General features: G+C 47.4%; 1 annotated feature.

Annotated features, from left to right (window-relative positions):
• Positions 73-911: an enhancer, noted in NCBI's record as "H3K27ac-H3K4me1 hESC enhancer chr14:95065522-95066360 (GRCh37/hg19 assembly coordinates)". NCBI's record gives its function as "activates a minimal SCP1, AML or CMV promoter by ChIP-STARR-seq in naive H9 embryonic stem cells {active_cell/tissue: H9 hESC(naive)}" and the evidence as "EXISTENCE:reporter gene assay evidence [ECO:0000049][PMID:30033119]".

Here is a 13,043-nt window from a genome sequence, read left to right on the forward strand (position 1 = left end):
ACAGGGATGATTGAGAAGCAGCTGCTCCGATGGCCAGAAGCCAACAGCCTTCCCTGCAGAGATGCGGGAAGTCCCAGGGACAGCAGGAAAGTCCAGGCACTGCACTGGCAGTGGGATTGGGGCTTGGGTCAGAAGAGGGTCAGGGCCACAAGGAAGGACCCTGGGAGGCTTCCTGCTACATAATATGAGGGCCGGGAGCATAACAAAGGATTGCCTTATCCATGATTGCATCATCAAACTGAAGCCTGAGACAGAACATTCTGTGAGGTGGCCTTGTTCACTGCAGAGGAGCTGACTCACACAGTTTTGTCTGGGAAGTTGCAACCTGTGCCAGGAGTAGCCAGCCTGGGAGTAACAAAGAGGCTTTTCTACTGCAGGTTTTCCTAGAGCTCCTCTCCCTCCCTCCCCTGGCCAAAGGTGAGCTCTGCAGGGAGGGTCCGGCTCTAGGGGACTTTGCTCCTGGGCATCCTAGCTGCAGAGATTGGTGGGGCTTGTCCAGAAAGGGGGGTCTTCTGGACCTGGGGATGATGCAGTTGGGCCTCAGGGTACTGGGAGGCCAGTAGGGGTGCTTCAAACTGGCCAGTAACCTGAAGGACTCATATTCTTAAGGATATCCTGGTGGCCACGTAGAAAACAGTCAGGTGGGGTGAGGGTGGAAGTAAGGACCAGCTCAGAGGTCACTGAGGGTGCAGCCAGACAGGCTGGGACCCACGTGGGCAGCAGAGGTGGAGAGTAGGGATGTGGAGGGGGAGACCCAGCCCCACGCTGGGGGCCCTGAGGGGAGGTGGAGGCTGAGCCAGGAGAAGAGGCACCACCCACTCACTTCCTGCTTGCTGAATGACTGTGAGGAGCAGGAGAAGGAGCAAAAGAGCAAGTGAGGAAGTCAAGGGGGTTATTTGGGGGCAATGCTCCATGTGAGGGTAGCTAAGGACAGGTGCCAAGGAGGCCCCTGTGTCAAAATCCCAGGTCAAAATGTTAGTTACCAGAGACCTCTGATAAAGACAGAGCCACAGGTAAAACGCAGCGGCACAACCCCTCGACCCTAAAATCAGAAGCCTATCTGTGTCCTGGCAAGGAGAGAAGCACGAGTGATCATCCACACCGCCAGGACGCAAGCCCGTTATTTCTGATGCAAAACCCAGGCTCCCTCCAGGGCTGGCACAGAGGACTGCCAGAGGAGTCAGGGGGCCTCCACCTTCCCCAGCTGCGCAACCTCAGAGGGTGTCTCCTTATCTCTGGGGTCACTGTGTCTTCATGGCCAGGCTGGGCACAGGTCAGCTGGGAGTGGAGCTGTGTTTGCAGGGAAGGAACGAGGGTGGACGTCGAAGCCAACCTGCCTGGTTCAGAATCCTGGCTCAGCTTGGCACTTACCAGCAGTGGTGGTGAGGCCTTGGGAATGAGCTCCGCCTCCCTGTACTTCCGTTTCCTCATATCTAAAATTGAGGGAGTAATGGGACCCGCCTCAGTGGGTGTTCATGTGGATTCCATGTGCTCTTAAGCATAAAGAACAGAGCAGCTATGATGACCATCATCTATGTCACTGGGCCTCCGGAAGTGAGGGAAGGAGAGGCAGATTTGCTTAAGTAGAAGGAAGGCGGAGGAAGGTAGTAAGGCGTCAGCCATGTGGCACAGATTGTATTATGAGATTTACTGGTTTTCTTACTTCGTCCTCAAATTTCCCTCCTTACCCACTTCCCATGATTCCTGAGAGTCAAGAGGACGGGAGCTGTGGAATGTGTTAGTCATCTACTGCTGCAGAGTAAATAGCCCATGATTATCTCACGGAGTTCCTGAGGGTCAGGAATCCAGGATTGCTGTTGGCCAGGGCAATCCCAGAAGGCTCACTTGTGGGGCTGTTGGTAGAAGGTCTCAGTTCCTCCCTATGTGGGCTACTCACAGGGCTGCTCAAATGTGACTTAGAGAGAGAGAGAGAGAGAGAGAGAGAGAGAGAGAGAGAGAGGCTTGTTTGTTTAGTGTCCAGGACCGAGAGAGGATATAGAGAGAAAGCACAAAAGAGAGAGAGAAAAAAAGAGAAAGGCAGAGAGAGAGATAGAGACAGAGACACAGACAGTTGTTGAATGTCCAGGACCAAGAGAGAGACAAAAGACAGAAAGCACAAAATAGAGGGGAAAAGAGAAAGACAGAGAGAGTAAGGGACAGAGAGAGGGGGACACAGAGAGAGAACCCATGGCAGAAGCAGCAGTCTTTTTTTTTTTTTTTTTTTTTTTGAGACAGAGTCTCACTCTGTCGCCCAGGCTGGAGTGCAGTGGCGTGATCTCGGCTCACTGCAAGCTCTGCCTCCCAGGTTCACACCATTCTCCTGCCTCAGCCTCCCAAGTAGCTGGGACTACAGGCGCCCGCCAACACGCCCAGCTAATTTTTTGTATTTTTAGTAGAGACGGGGTTTCACTGTGTTAGCCAGGATGGTCTCGATCTCCTGACCTCGTGATCTGCCCGCCTCGGCCTCCCAAAGTGCTGAGATTACAGGTCTGAGCCACCACGCCTGGCCAGAAGCATCAGTCTTTTTATAACCCAATCTCGGAAATGACACCCCACCCCTTCTGCCTTAGAAAGAAGTCACTAAGTCCAGTCCAATGTGAGAGAAAGTAATTAAGCTCTATCTCTTCAAGGAAGTGGTATCAGACATTTGTGGACACATTTGTAAAATGACCAGAGCGTTAGAACCTCAGAATCCAGCAGACTAATTGCCCTCATAGTAGATTATTAATGTTTTAAAAAATGGATGGACTAGCTGAAGGAATAAATGAACGAGTGAGTGAGCAGGATATTTCTGTCTCATTTCACATGCAGAAAAGGCACTGAGGCTCAGAGGAATTAGGACATGTGTGAGGTTCTCTAGGCAGTAAGGGGTGGGGGCTGGCCTGGTTTGCCAGAACTCGGAGATGCAGCATGCAGCGTGCAGCAGTTCTGAAATGGAAGCCAGGGATGGCAAGCTACAGCAGCCACTCCCTCCCGGAGGGAGAACGGACCCAACACCAAGGAGGAAGGGATGACTCAGCAGCCCTCAAAACAGAGTCAGGAGTTCTCCCTGCTTTTGCCAAACCCTCTGCAGGCACCTCTTATCCATACAGGGACGCAGCCAAAGGCCTAGCTGTGCTGAAGGAAATTTGCAAATCCTGCCTCAAATCTGCAGCCAGTATCTCCCCCAGCAGCCTCCAAACCAGGCCAGCACGAACCCAGCCAGAGAGCAGCATAGGTGTTGGGCAAAAACAGGCTATTGACTCCATCCTTTTCTAACAGAGACCAGAGTCCTCTGGCCTTCCACAGAGAAGGTGGGGCCTTCTCAGGGTTCTCTGGATCTGCTGGTGTCAGTCAGTATCTATTTCTTCTTCCTAAGAATTCTTTTTTTTTTTTTTGAGATGGAGTTTTTGCTCTGTTGCCCAGGCTGGAATGCAATGGCACAATCTCAGCTCACTGAAACCTCTGCCTGCCGGGTTCAAGGGATTCTCCTGCCTCAACCTCCCGAGTAACTGGGATTACAGGCACCCACCACCACACAGGGCTAATTTTTGTATTTTTAGTAGAGACAAGGTTTCACCATGTTGGCCAGGCTGGTCTCAAACTCTTGATCTCAGGTGATCCACCTGCCTCAGCCTCCCAAAGTGCTAGAATTACAGGCATGAGCCACTGAGCCCAGCCTCCTAAGAATTCTTAAAGGAGCTACGGTTGACAAAAGAGTTTCAGAGAGGTAAAGTTATGGCCCTAAAGTCACCCAGCAAGTAGATGTGGCAAAGCCATGTTGCAAAAGAAGCCCTGGTGGGTGACACTCTTTGGATGGCCCCTGCCTCTCCGGAAGGCACCAGCGTTGGTTTCTCTCCGCCTCACCTTCCCATGCAGGTGGGCACGTTTGTGCTTGGGCTCCTGCTGGTTATGCCCCAGAAGCACACTCTTCCCTATCTGCAGTCCCAGCCCATGTGTGGACACAACCCATTTCCTAGGGTGTTCCTTAGCCCACTGCACCAAGTCAGCATTTAGGAATCAAGAGTGGCACCACAAAGGCAATAGCTGTGAAGACCACAAGCAGCATCACAGTGATCAAGCTTGCAGAATTCCATTGTCTGATGGACTCTGTGTGTACCAAGGTGACTGCAATCCAGGGACAGTGAGAGTCACTAGGCCTTGGACTAAGCATCTGCTTGTCCCAGGTCCCAGGCTGAACATTTGATGTGAATCTTTAGTCTCTTCACTTTTGAGACAGGCACTACAGCCACACTCACACAGGTCCCAAAGGCCAGTGCCACCCACTACCTCTGCCATCTCCACTCCTGCATTCCACCAGATTCCCTGACCTTTAGAAATAGTCTCCTGGAGGCCAGGCCTGCTGGCTCAAGCCTGTAATTCCAGCTCTTTGAGAGGCTGAGGTGGGCGGATTACCTGAGGTCAAAAGTTTGAGATCAGCCTGGCCAATATGGTGAAACCCCGTCTCTACCAAAAATACAAAAATTAGCCAGGTGTGGTGGCAGTCACCTGTAATCCCAGCTACTCAGGAGGCTGAGGCAGGAGAATTGCTTGAACCCAGGAAGTAGAGATAGTAGAGATTGGAGTGAACTGAGATCATGCCATTGCACTCCAGCCTGGGCAACAGAGTGAGACTCCATCTCAAAAAGAAAAAAAAAAGAAAAGAAATAGTCCCCTGGAGCCCCTGGCCCTGACCTCCCAAAAGCCAGAGTGAACTTTCAATCTCACCGTAGGCTGACCCCCTGTGTCCATTTTAAGTCAGAGGACTATACCCATCCACAGTCAAAGAAGAGGGTGGTGACCAATGTGGACAAAGCTCCCATTCAGCTGAGACCCCAATCAGTAAAGAAAATCTTTCCCTACACAGATCTACAGACAACCAAAGCCTTAAAAAGGCATCAACCCTAAAGCCTGTGAAAATGTGATTTTCTCTCCTGTGTTCAAGAATGGAAATGCCTTCCTTCATTTTTAAAGAAGGAGCAGGGGATGGTGGTGAGAGTCTGGATTTGGCATTGGATTGGTCTTTCCTAAACTCCAACAGCTCCTGCATTTAACAGCTAGGGGTATGTGGGCAAATCACATGATTAGACATAGGAAGCTTTTTCCTCCTTCCTACTCCCCTTCCTGGAGGTTGACACAGACCAAAGCTTGGTAAGAAAACTTAGGATAAAAGAAGGGGCAGAGGCCGGGCAAGGTGGCTCATGCCTGTAGTCCCAGCACTTTGAGTGGCCAAGGTGCGTGGATCAATTGAGCCCAGGTGATTGAGACCAGCCTGGGCAACATGGTGAAACCATGTCTCTGCAAAAAATTACAAAAATTAGCTGGGCATGGTGGTGTGCACCTGTAATCCCAACTACTCGGGAGGCTGAAGGGGGAGGATCACTTGAGCCCAGGATGTTGAAGCTGCACATGAGGTGAGATTGCACCACTGCACTCCAGCTTGGGCTACAGAGTGAGTCCCTATCTCAAAAAAAAAAAGAGGGCAGAGATTTTTTTCAACATCATCAGAGATGGGAGCTATACAAGATATACAAAGAGAGGAGACAGTCAGCCATGGCAATGTCAAAATACTCGTTAGCCAGCACATGTTCTGCCTAGGGAATTTTCTGCACCTACTGGGAGGTATGGGGAAAGGACACAGGGTTTAGCAGGATCAAGAGGTTGTGGGGGATGCAGAGTACAGGACAGCAATCCCCAGATGGCCTTGGCCTTGGCTCTCCTTCCTCCAACTCTTAGCTCTCAGGATAACTGTAGAATATGCTAAGAATGCAGTGCCCTGAGACAAGGAGAAAATATCAGGAACAATCTGAGCTTTGTCTTCATTCCTCCTAAAACTTGTTTCAGCCATCCAAGTGACTTCTGAGATATAAAACCCAGGGAGGGGTGTTTTTGAGGCCCCTTAGCTGTGGTGCAAAGTGAGGCACATGCAAACAAGACCCCATCTGCCGGGGCAGCTTTCCTGAGCCTTGGGGGACTGGTTCACCATGGATCCTAGGCGTCTGTTGATTCTTGCTGCCTATATCTGTAATGAAGTTGGTTTGCGTGGCTTGCATAGTATTCTGTCACATCAAACTCATACTCTAGCAACTGGGTTTGTGTAAAACCTCCTCCCACATCCAGGAAATTAAGCAGAAATTAGCAAGATGCTTAGAGTCCTCTCTGAGGAGCGAGGCAGGTGCACAGTGTTGGGGACATGTTGGGAGTCCTCCCCCCAGATTGATAACCATTGCATGGGACTCTGCTTCCCAGAGAGAAGAAAGAGAAGATTTCAATCAGGAAGGGGCTCCCTGCAATTTCAAGTAGGGCAGGATGGAGTTGAGAGGTGGGATGGAAGCAATGAAATTAACTTGCATTTCAAACCTCTGGGGGCAACGCATAGGCTTGAAGCTATAATGTGAGCCTGAGCTAAAACAGTAAGGGTGTTTATTCAGTATTCTGGACTCCATATGTATCTGATCACTTCACAGCTGCTTAAGGAGATTGTCCAGGGGTCGGCTAACTAGACCCACTGGCCAAACCCAGGCCCAAAACAGACAGCTTTTAAATATTTCACAAGCTAAGCTTCATACATTTTTAAAAGATTATGAGGAAGAAGGAAGAAAAGGAGAAAGACAAAGAGGAGTCAGGGGAGAAGAGGAGACAGAGATCATATGCGACCATCAAAGTCTAAAGCACTTACTATTTGGCCCATTACAGAAAAAAGTTTGCAGATCCCTGGAATGTAGTCCCTGCTCCCTTCCATTAAGGCCACTGCCCCAAAACTGCAGAGACAGTGTCACCCTGAGAGTGGGAGCATTATTTGTTTTGCTCGTTGCTGGATGCCCAGTGCCTAGGATCATGCCTGGCACATAAAATCACTCTGTAAATATTTGTGGAATAAAGGAAAAAATAAATGAATGAACAATGTATAGAAAAGCACTTGGTAACCTATAAAGTCCAAGTATAGGACAAATAAAAATACATACTTTATTTATTTATTTTAATTTTTTTTTGAGATGGACTCTTGCTCTGTTGCCCAGCCTGGAGTACAGTGGTACGATCTCAGCCCACTGCCACCTCTGCCTCTCGGGTTCAAGAGATTCTCCTGCCTCAGCCTCCTGAGTAGCTGGGACTACAGGCATGTGCCATCATGCCTGGCTAATTTTTTTGTATTTTTATTAGAGATGGGGTTTTGCCATGTTGGCTGGGCTGGTCTTGAAGCCCTGACCTCAGGTGATCCACCTGCCTTGGCCTCCCAAAGTGCTGGGATTACAGGCATGAGCCACTGCCCCCAGCCTACATACTATTTTAAATCCACTGCACCTGTTCTTATTCTGGAGTGGATGCTGAATTCTGCCCTTGGACAAGGCCCTCAGTGTGTTCTGGGAGAGCCTGGCTTGAAGCCACATTATGAAGAGGCAGGGCAGATCCCAACCCAGGAAGCTGGAGACAGAGGAAATCTAAAGGCAGGAACCTCCTACAGAGGTTGCTCTTCTGCTTAGCCTAAGAAGCAGAGCTTCTCAGGCTTTCTGGTGCACACAGATCACCTTGGGGTTATTATTAGTATCCAAATTCTAAATTAGCATGCCTGGGCTGGGCCCCAAGAATTAGCATTTCTAACAAGCTCTTCTGTGTTGCTGCAGCTACTGGTCCCTGAATCACATGTGCTGTACAGCAAGGATGTCAAAGCTCTCTTCCTCAAAGGCAGGAGCATCTCCTCAGACCCTAGTATCCTCCTCATTTCCTCTTTGCTTCCTTTTGTCGGGTTCCAAAAAACAGTAGAAGTGCCCTGGATTCTGATGAGAGAACATTCTCAAGGGATTGCTGACTCGGGAGGCAAACAGGCTCCAGCGATCCTGCAGCCCACGGGCTGGTGGGGAGATGACCCACAGGGGGCTGTTCCAAAAAGGAAGAGCAGTGGGCCTGGAAGAGTATGATTTGGCCTTAGTGTTGCTTCACTTTTCTGTCTTAATTGCCCTGTGGTTTCATCTGGTCATGGGAGTCCACGATGACATGTGCCATCCTTGTATGAATGGTGCTTGCAGAACCGAAGGAAGGGCCTGTACCAATGCCTGGGGAAAAGCAGACCAATGAAGACTTGTAAGAGCCCAGAAAAGAGGCTGGGAGAAGGTCAGGAATGGGGTAAACGTGGCCTTGGGGCATCTGCCTGGAGCTCCAGGTGACCAGTGGCACCCAGAACAATTCTTGACCCTCTGCAGGTCCTCCAAAGCATCCTCAGTAGGACCTGCAGAAGGTCAAAAATTTTCTGCTTTCACGTTGGATGGAGGTCAAGACTAAGTCAGCTCAACTGTAAAGAAAATGATGCTTTTCCCTTTGAAAACTGGTACAAGACAAGGATGTCCTCTCTCACCACTCCTATTCAACATAGTATGGGAAGTTCTGGCCAGGGCAATCAGGCAAGAGAAAGAAATAAAGGGTATTCAATTAGGAAAAAAGGAAGTCAAGTCTCTATTTGCAGATGACATGATTGTATATTTAGAAATCCCCATTGTCTCAGCCCAAAATCTCCTTAAGCCAATAAGCAACTTCATCAAAATCTTAGGATACAAAATCAATGTGCAAAAATCACACGCATTCCTATACAACAATAACAGACAAACAGAGAGCCAAATCATGAGTGAGCTCCCATTCACAATTGCTACAAAGAGAATAAAATACCTAGGAATCCAACTTACAAGGGATGTGAAGGACCTCTTCAAGGAGAACTACAAACCACTACTCAACGAAATAAAAGAGGACACAAACAAATGGAAGAACATTCCATGCTCATGGATAATAAGAATCAATATCATGAAAATGGCCATACTGCCCAAAGTAATTTATAGATGCAATGCTATCTCCATCAAGCTACCACTGACTTTCTTCACAGAATTGGAAAAAACTACTTTAAATTTCATATGGAACCAAAAAAGAGCCTGCATAGCCAAGACAATCCTAAGCCAAAAGAACCAAGCTGGAGGTATAACACTACCTGACTTCAAACTATATTACAAGGCTTCAGTAACCAAAACAGTATGGTACTGGTACCAAAACAGATATATAGAACAATGGAACAGAACAGAGGCCTCAGAAATAACACCACACATCTACAACCATCTGATCTTTGACAAACCTGACAAAAACAAGAAATGGGAAAAGGATTCCCTATTTAATAAATGGTGCTGGGAAAACTGGCTAGCCATATGTAGAAAGCTGAAGCTGGATCCCTTCCTTACACCTTATACAAAAATTAACTCAAGATGGATTAAAGACTTAAATGTAAGACCTAAAACCATAAAAACCCTAGAAGAAAACTTAGGCAATACCATTCAGGACATAGGCATAGGCAAAGACTTCATGACTAAAACACCAAAAGCAATGGCAACAAAAGCCAAAATTGACAAATGGGATCTAATTAAACTAAAGAGCTTCTGCACAGCAAAAGAAACTATCATCAGAGTGAACAGGTAACCTACAGAATGGGAGAAAATTTTTGCAATCTATCCATCTGACAAAGGGCTAATATCCAGAATCTACAAGGAACTTAAGCAAATTTACAAGAAAAAAACAAACAATCCCATCAAAAAGTGGGCGAAGGAGATGAACAGACACTTCTCAAATGAAGACATTTATGAAGCCAACAGACATATGAAAAAATGCTCATCATCACTGGTCCTTAGAGAAATGCAAATCAAAACCACAATGAGATACCATCTCATACCAGTTAGAATGGGGATCATTAAAAAGTCAGGAAACAACAGATGCTGGAGAGTATGCAGAGAAATAGAAATGCTTTTACACTGTTGGTGGGTCTGTAAATTAGTTCAACCTTTGTGGAAGACAGTGTGGCAATTCCTCAAGGATGTAGAACTAGAAATACAATTTGACCCAGCAATCCCATTACTGGATATATACCCAAAGGATTATACATCATGCTACTATAAAGACACATGCACACATATGTTTATTGTGGCACCATTCACAATAGCAAAGACTTGGAACCAACCCAAATGTCCACCAATAATAGACTGGATAAAGAAAATATGGCACATATACACCATGGAATACTATGCAGCCATAAAAAAGGATGAGTTCATGTCCTTTTCAGGGACATGGATGAAGCTGGAAACCATCATTCTCAGCAAACTAATACAGGAACAGGAAACCAAACACCACATGTTCTCACTCATAAGTGGGAGCTGAACAACGAAAACATATGGACACAGGGAGGGGACTATCACACATTGGGGCCTGTTGGGGGGTTGGGGGCTGGCAGAGGGATAGCATTAGGAGAAATACCTAATGTAAATGACAAGTTGATGGGTGCAGCAAACCAATATGGCACATGTATACCTATGTAAAAAACCTGCACGTTGTGCACATGTACCCCACAACTTAAAGTATAATTTAAGAAAAGAAAGAAAGAAGGAAAATGATGCTCTGAGGCCGGAGAACTTGAGAACACTCAGATAATGCTCTGAGGCAAGATGACTAGTCATCCCCAATGTCCACTCTCTTTGTCTCTCTCATGGTAATGGAACTCTGAATTTTTAGCTGGGAGGTGGCTACCTAGAATCTTGACTGCACTGCACAGCCTCCTTTGTAGCTAGGTATGGCCATGGGACAAAACTCCAGGCAACACAACACAAGTGGGAATGACAGGCAATGTTCAAGGCATTCCTTTCAAAAGAAAGGGTGTGCCCTTCCCTTCCCCTGTGGCCCTTTCTATGGACTGGAAGGTGGACATAGCAGTGAGCCATCTTAGCCTAGACAAACAGACGTGGAGGGGCAGCTGAGCAACCAGACAGGAGGACGTGGTTTCTGACAACGTGGAGGCACCATATCAACCCACTGCCTCCAGCTGGACCTGCAGGAGAGGGAAATGAACTTCAGTCTCATTTTAGCAACTATTTCTTTAGGATTCTGTGTAACTTAAACATATGTATTGGCCAGGTACAGTGGCTCACACCTGTAATTCCAGCACTTTGGGAGGCTGAGGTGGGAGGATCCCTTGAGGCCAGGATTTCAAGACTAGCCTGGACAACACAATGAAACCCTGCCTCTACAAAAAAATAAAAATTTAAAAATTAGCCAGGCATGGCGTTGTGCACCTATGGTTCCAGCTACTCAGAAGGCTGAGGCGGCAGGATATCTTGAGTCGAGGCGGCAGGATATCTTGAGTCCAGGAGTCAGAGTCTTCAGTAAGCAACGAGCAATGATTGCGCCACTACATTCCAGCCTGGGTGACAAAGCGAGTCTCTCTCTCTCTCTCTCTCTCTCTCTCTCTATATATATATATATATATATATAATATATATATAAAAATATATAATATATTATATATGTGTATACGTATATATGTATATATATACACACACACACATAGAGAGAGATATATATATAAAGACACACACACACACACACACACACACACACACACACACACACACATTCAATTCCAAAACTGGGAGCCTGAAAGTCATTTAAGAAAGATGGGCCCAGACAGTTATTGGTCATCTTAGTGCCTTACAGTCAACAAATATGTAAGTCCTCTAAAGATGCAGCACTATCGCAACAGACAAACAAAAAATCCTGTCCTCGTAGAGTGTACATTTAATATCATTTCATTTCATCTTGATTACCACTCTGTCAGGGAATATTGCCTTGCATCTTAGACATGAGGAAATTAAGCTGTAGAGATTTCCCATGATTTGTTTGAAGTGAGTCAGTTGGTGAGTCAGACATCAGAGATTCAAGCCAGGTCAGCTCATGCCAGAGCTAGAACCTCGCCACTGGTCTGGTGGCCTCCAAAGCATGCCCTCTAGAGAGGCCTGTCAGGGCTACCCCGGATGGGGACTGTGACCATGAGGAATCAAGAGGAAGGATTTTTTTTTTTTTGAGACAGAGTCTCTCTGTGTTGCCCAGGCTGGAGTGCAGTGGCGTGATCTTGGCTCACTGCAACCTCTGCCTCCTGGGTTCAAGCGATTCTCCTGCCTCAGCCTCGCCTCCCAAGTAGCTGGGTTACAGGCATGCGCCATGATGCCCTGCTAGTTTGTTTGTTTTTTTTTTTTTTGTATTTTTAGTAAAGATGGGGTTTCGCCATGTTGGCCAAGCTGGTCATGGACTCCTGACCTCAGGTGGTCTGCCCACGTCAGCCTCCCAAGATGCTGGGATTACCAGCATGAGCCACTAGTCCCGCCCAGGATTTTTTTTTTCCTTTTTCATGAGCCAAAGAAAGACCCCAGACTAGCTAAGAGAGAGGCCCAAGGATACCTGAAGGCCGGGGAGGAGGGACAACCACTTGTTGGGGTGAACCAATCGCAGAGGCTCAGCAGGACAGAGGCCAAGGCTGAGGAGGCCCCCACAGAGAAACAGAGCCTGAGGACAAGGGGTTCCTCACAACACCTGTGCTCCCCGAAAGCTCCCCTCCACACCCCTCTCTAGGTGCCCTACTCTCTGGGGTTGGTGAAGGGGTGCCAAAAATGCAAACTGATCCACAGAAAAATAGAGTCCTGTATTTTAAAAATATATCTAGGTTTGTATATGGACATTCACATCACACAGACACACAGACACACATGCAGCCACACACACACACACACACAGAGACACCAAAGAAAAGTGCTTTAGAAATACACCAAAATGTGGCTGGGTGCGGTGGCTCATGCCTGTAATCCCAGCACTTTGGGAGGCTGAGGTGGGCAGATCACGAGGTCAGGAGTTCAAGACCAGTCCGACCAACAAGGTGAAACCCTGTCTCTACGAAAAATACAAAAATTAGCTGGGCGTGGTGGTGTGTGCCTGTAGTCCCAGCTACTCGGGAGGCTGAGGCAGAAAGTTGCTTGAACCCGGGAGTCAGAGGTTGCAGTGAGCTGAGATCACGCCACTGCACTCCAGCCTGGGCAACAAAGCAAGACTCTGTCTCAAAATAAAAATAAAAAATAAAAAGAAATAAAAAAGAAATATACCAAAATGTTAGCTGGGGTCTTCTCTGGGTAGTAAAGTGCTGGGGGATATTTTCCAAAGTCCTTCTTTACATTCTCTGAGTTTTTCCATGTTCTTCAATGAGTATTTAATAAGCAGAT

The sequence above is a fragment of the Homo sapiens genome, chromosome 14, assembly GCF_000001405.40.
Source record: "Homo sapiens chromosome 14, GRCh38.p14 Primary Assembly".
Lineage (NCBI taxonomy): Eukaryota > Metazoa > Chordata > Mammalia > Primates > Hominidae > Homo > Homo sapiens.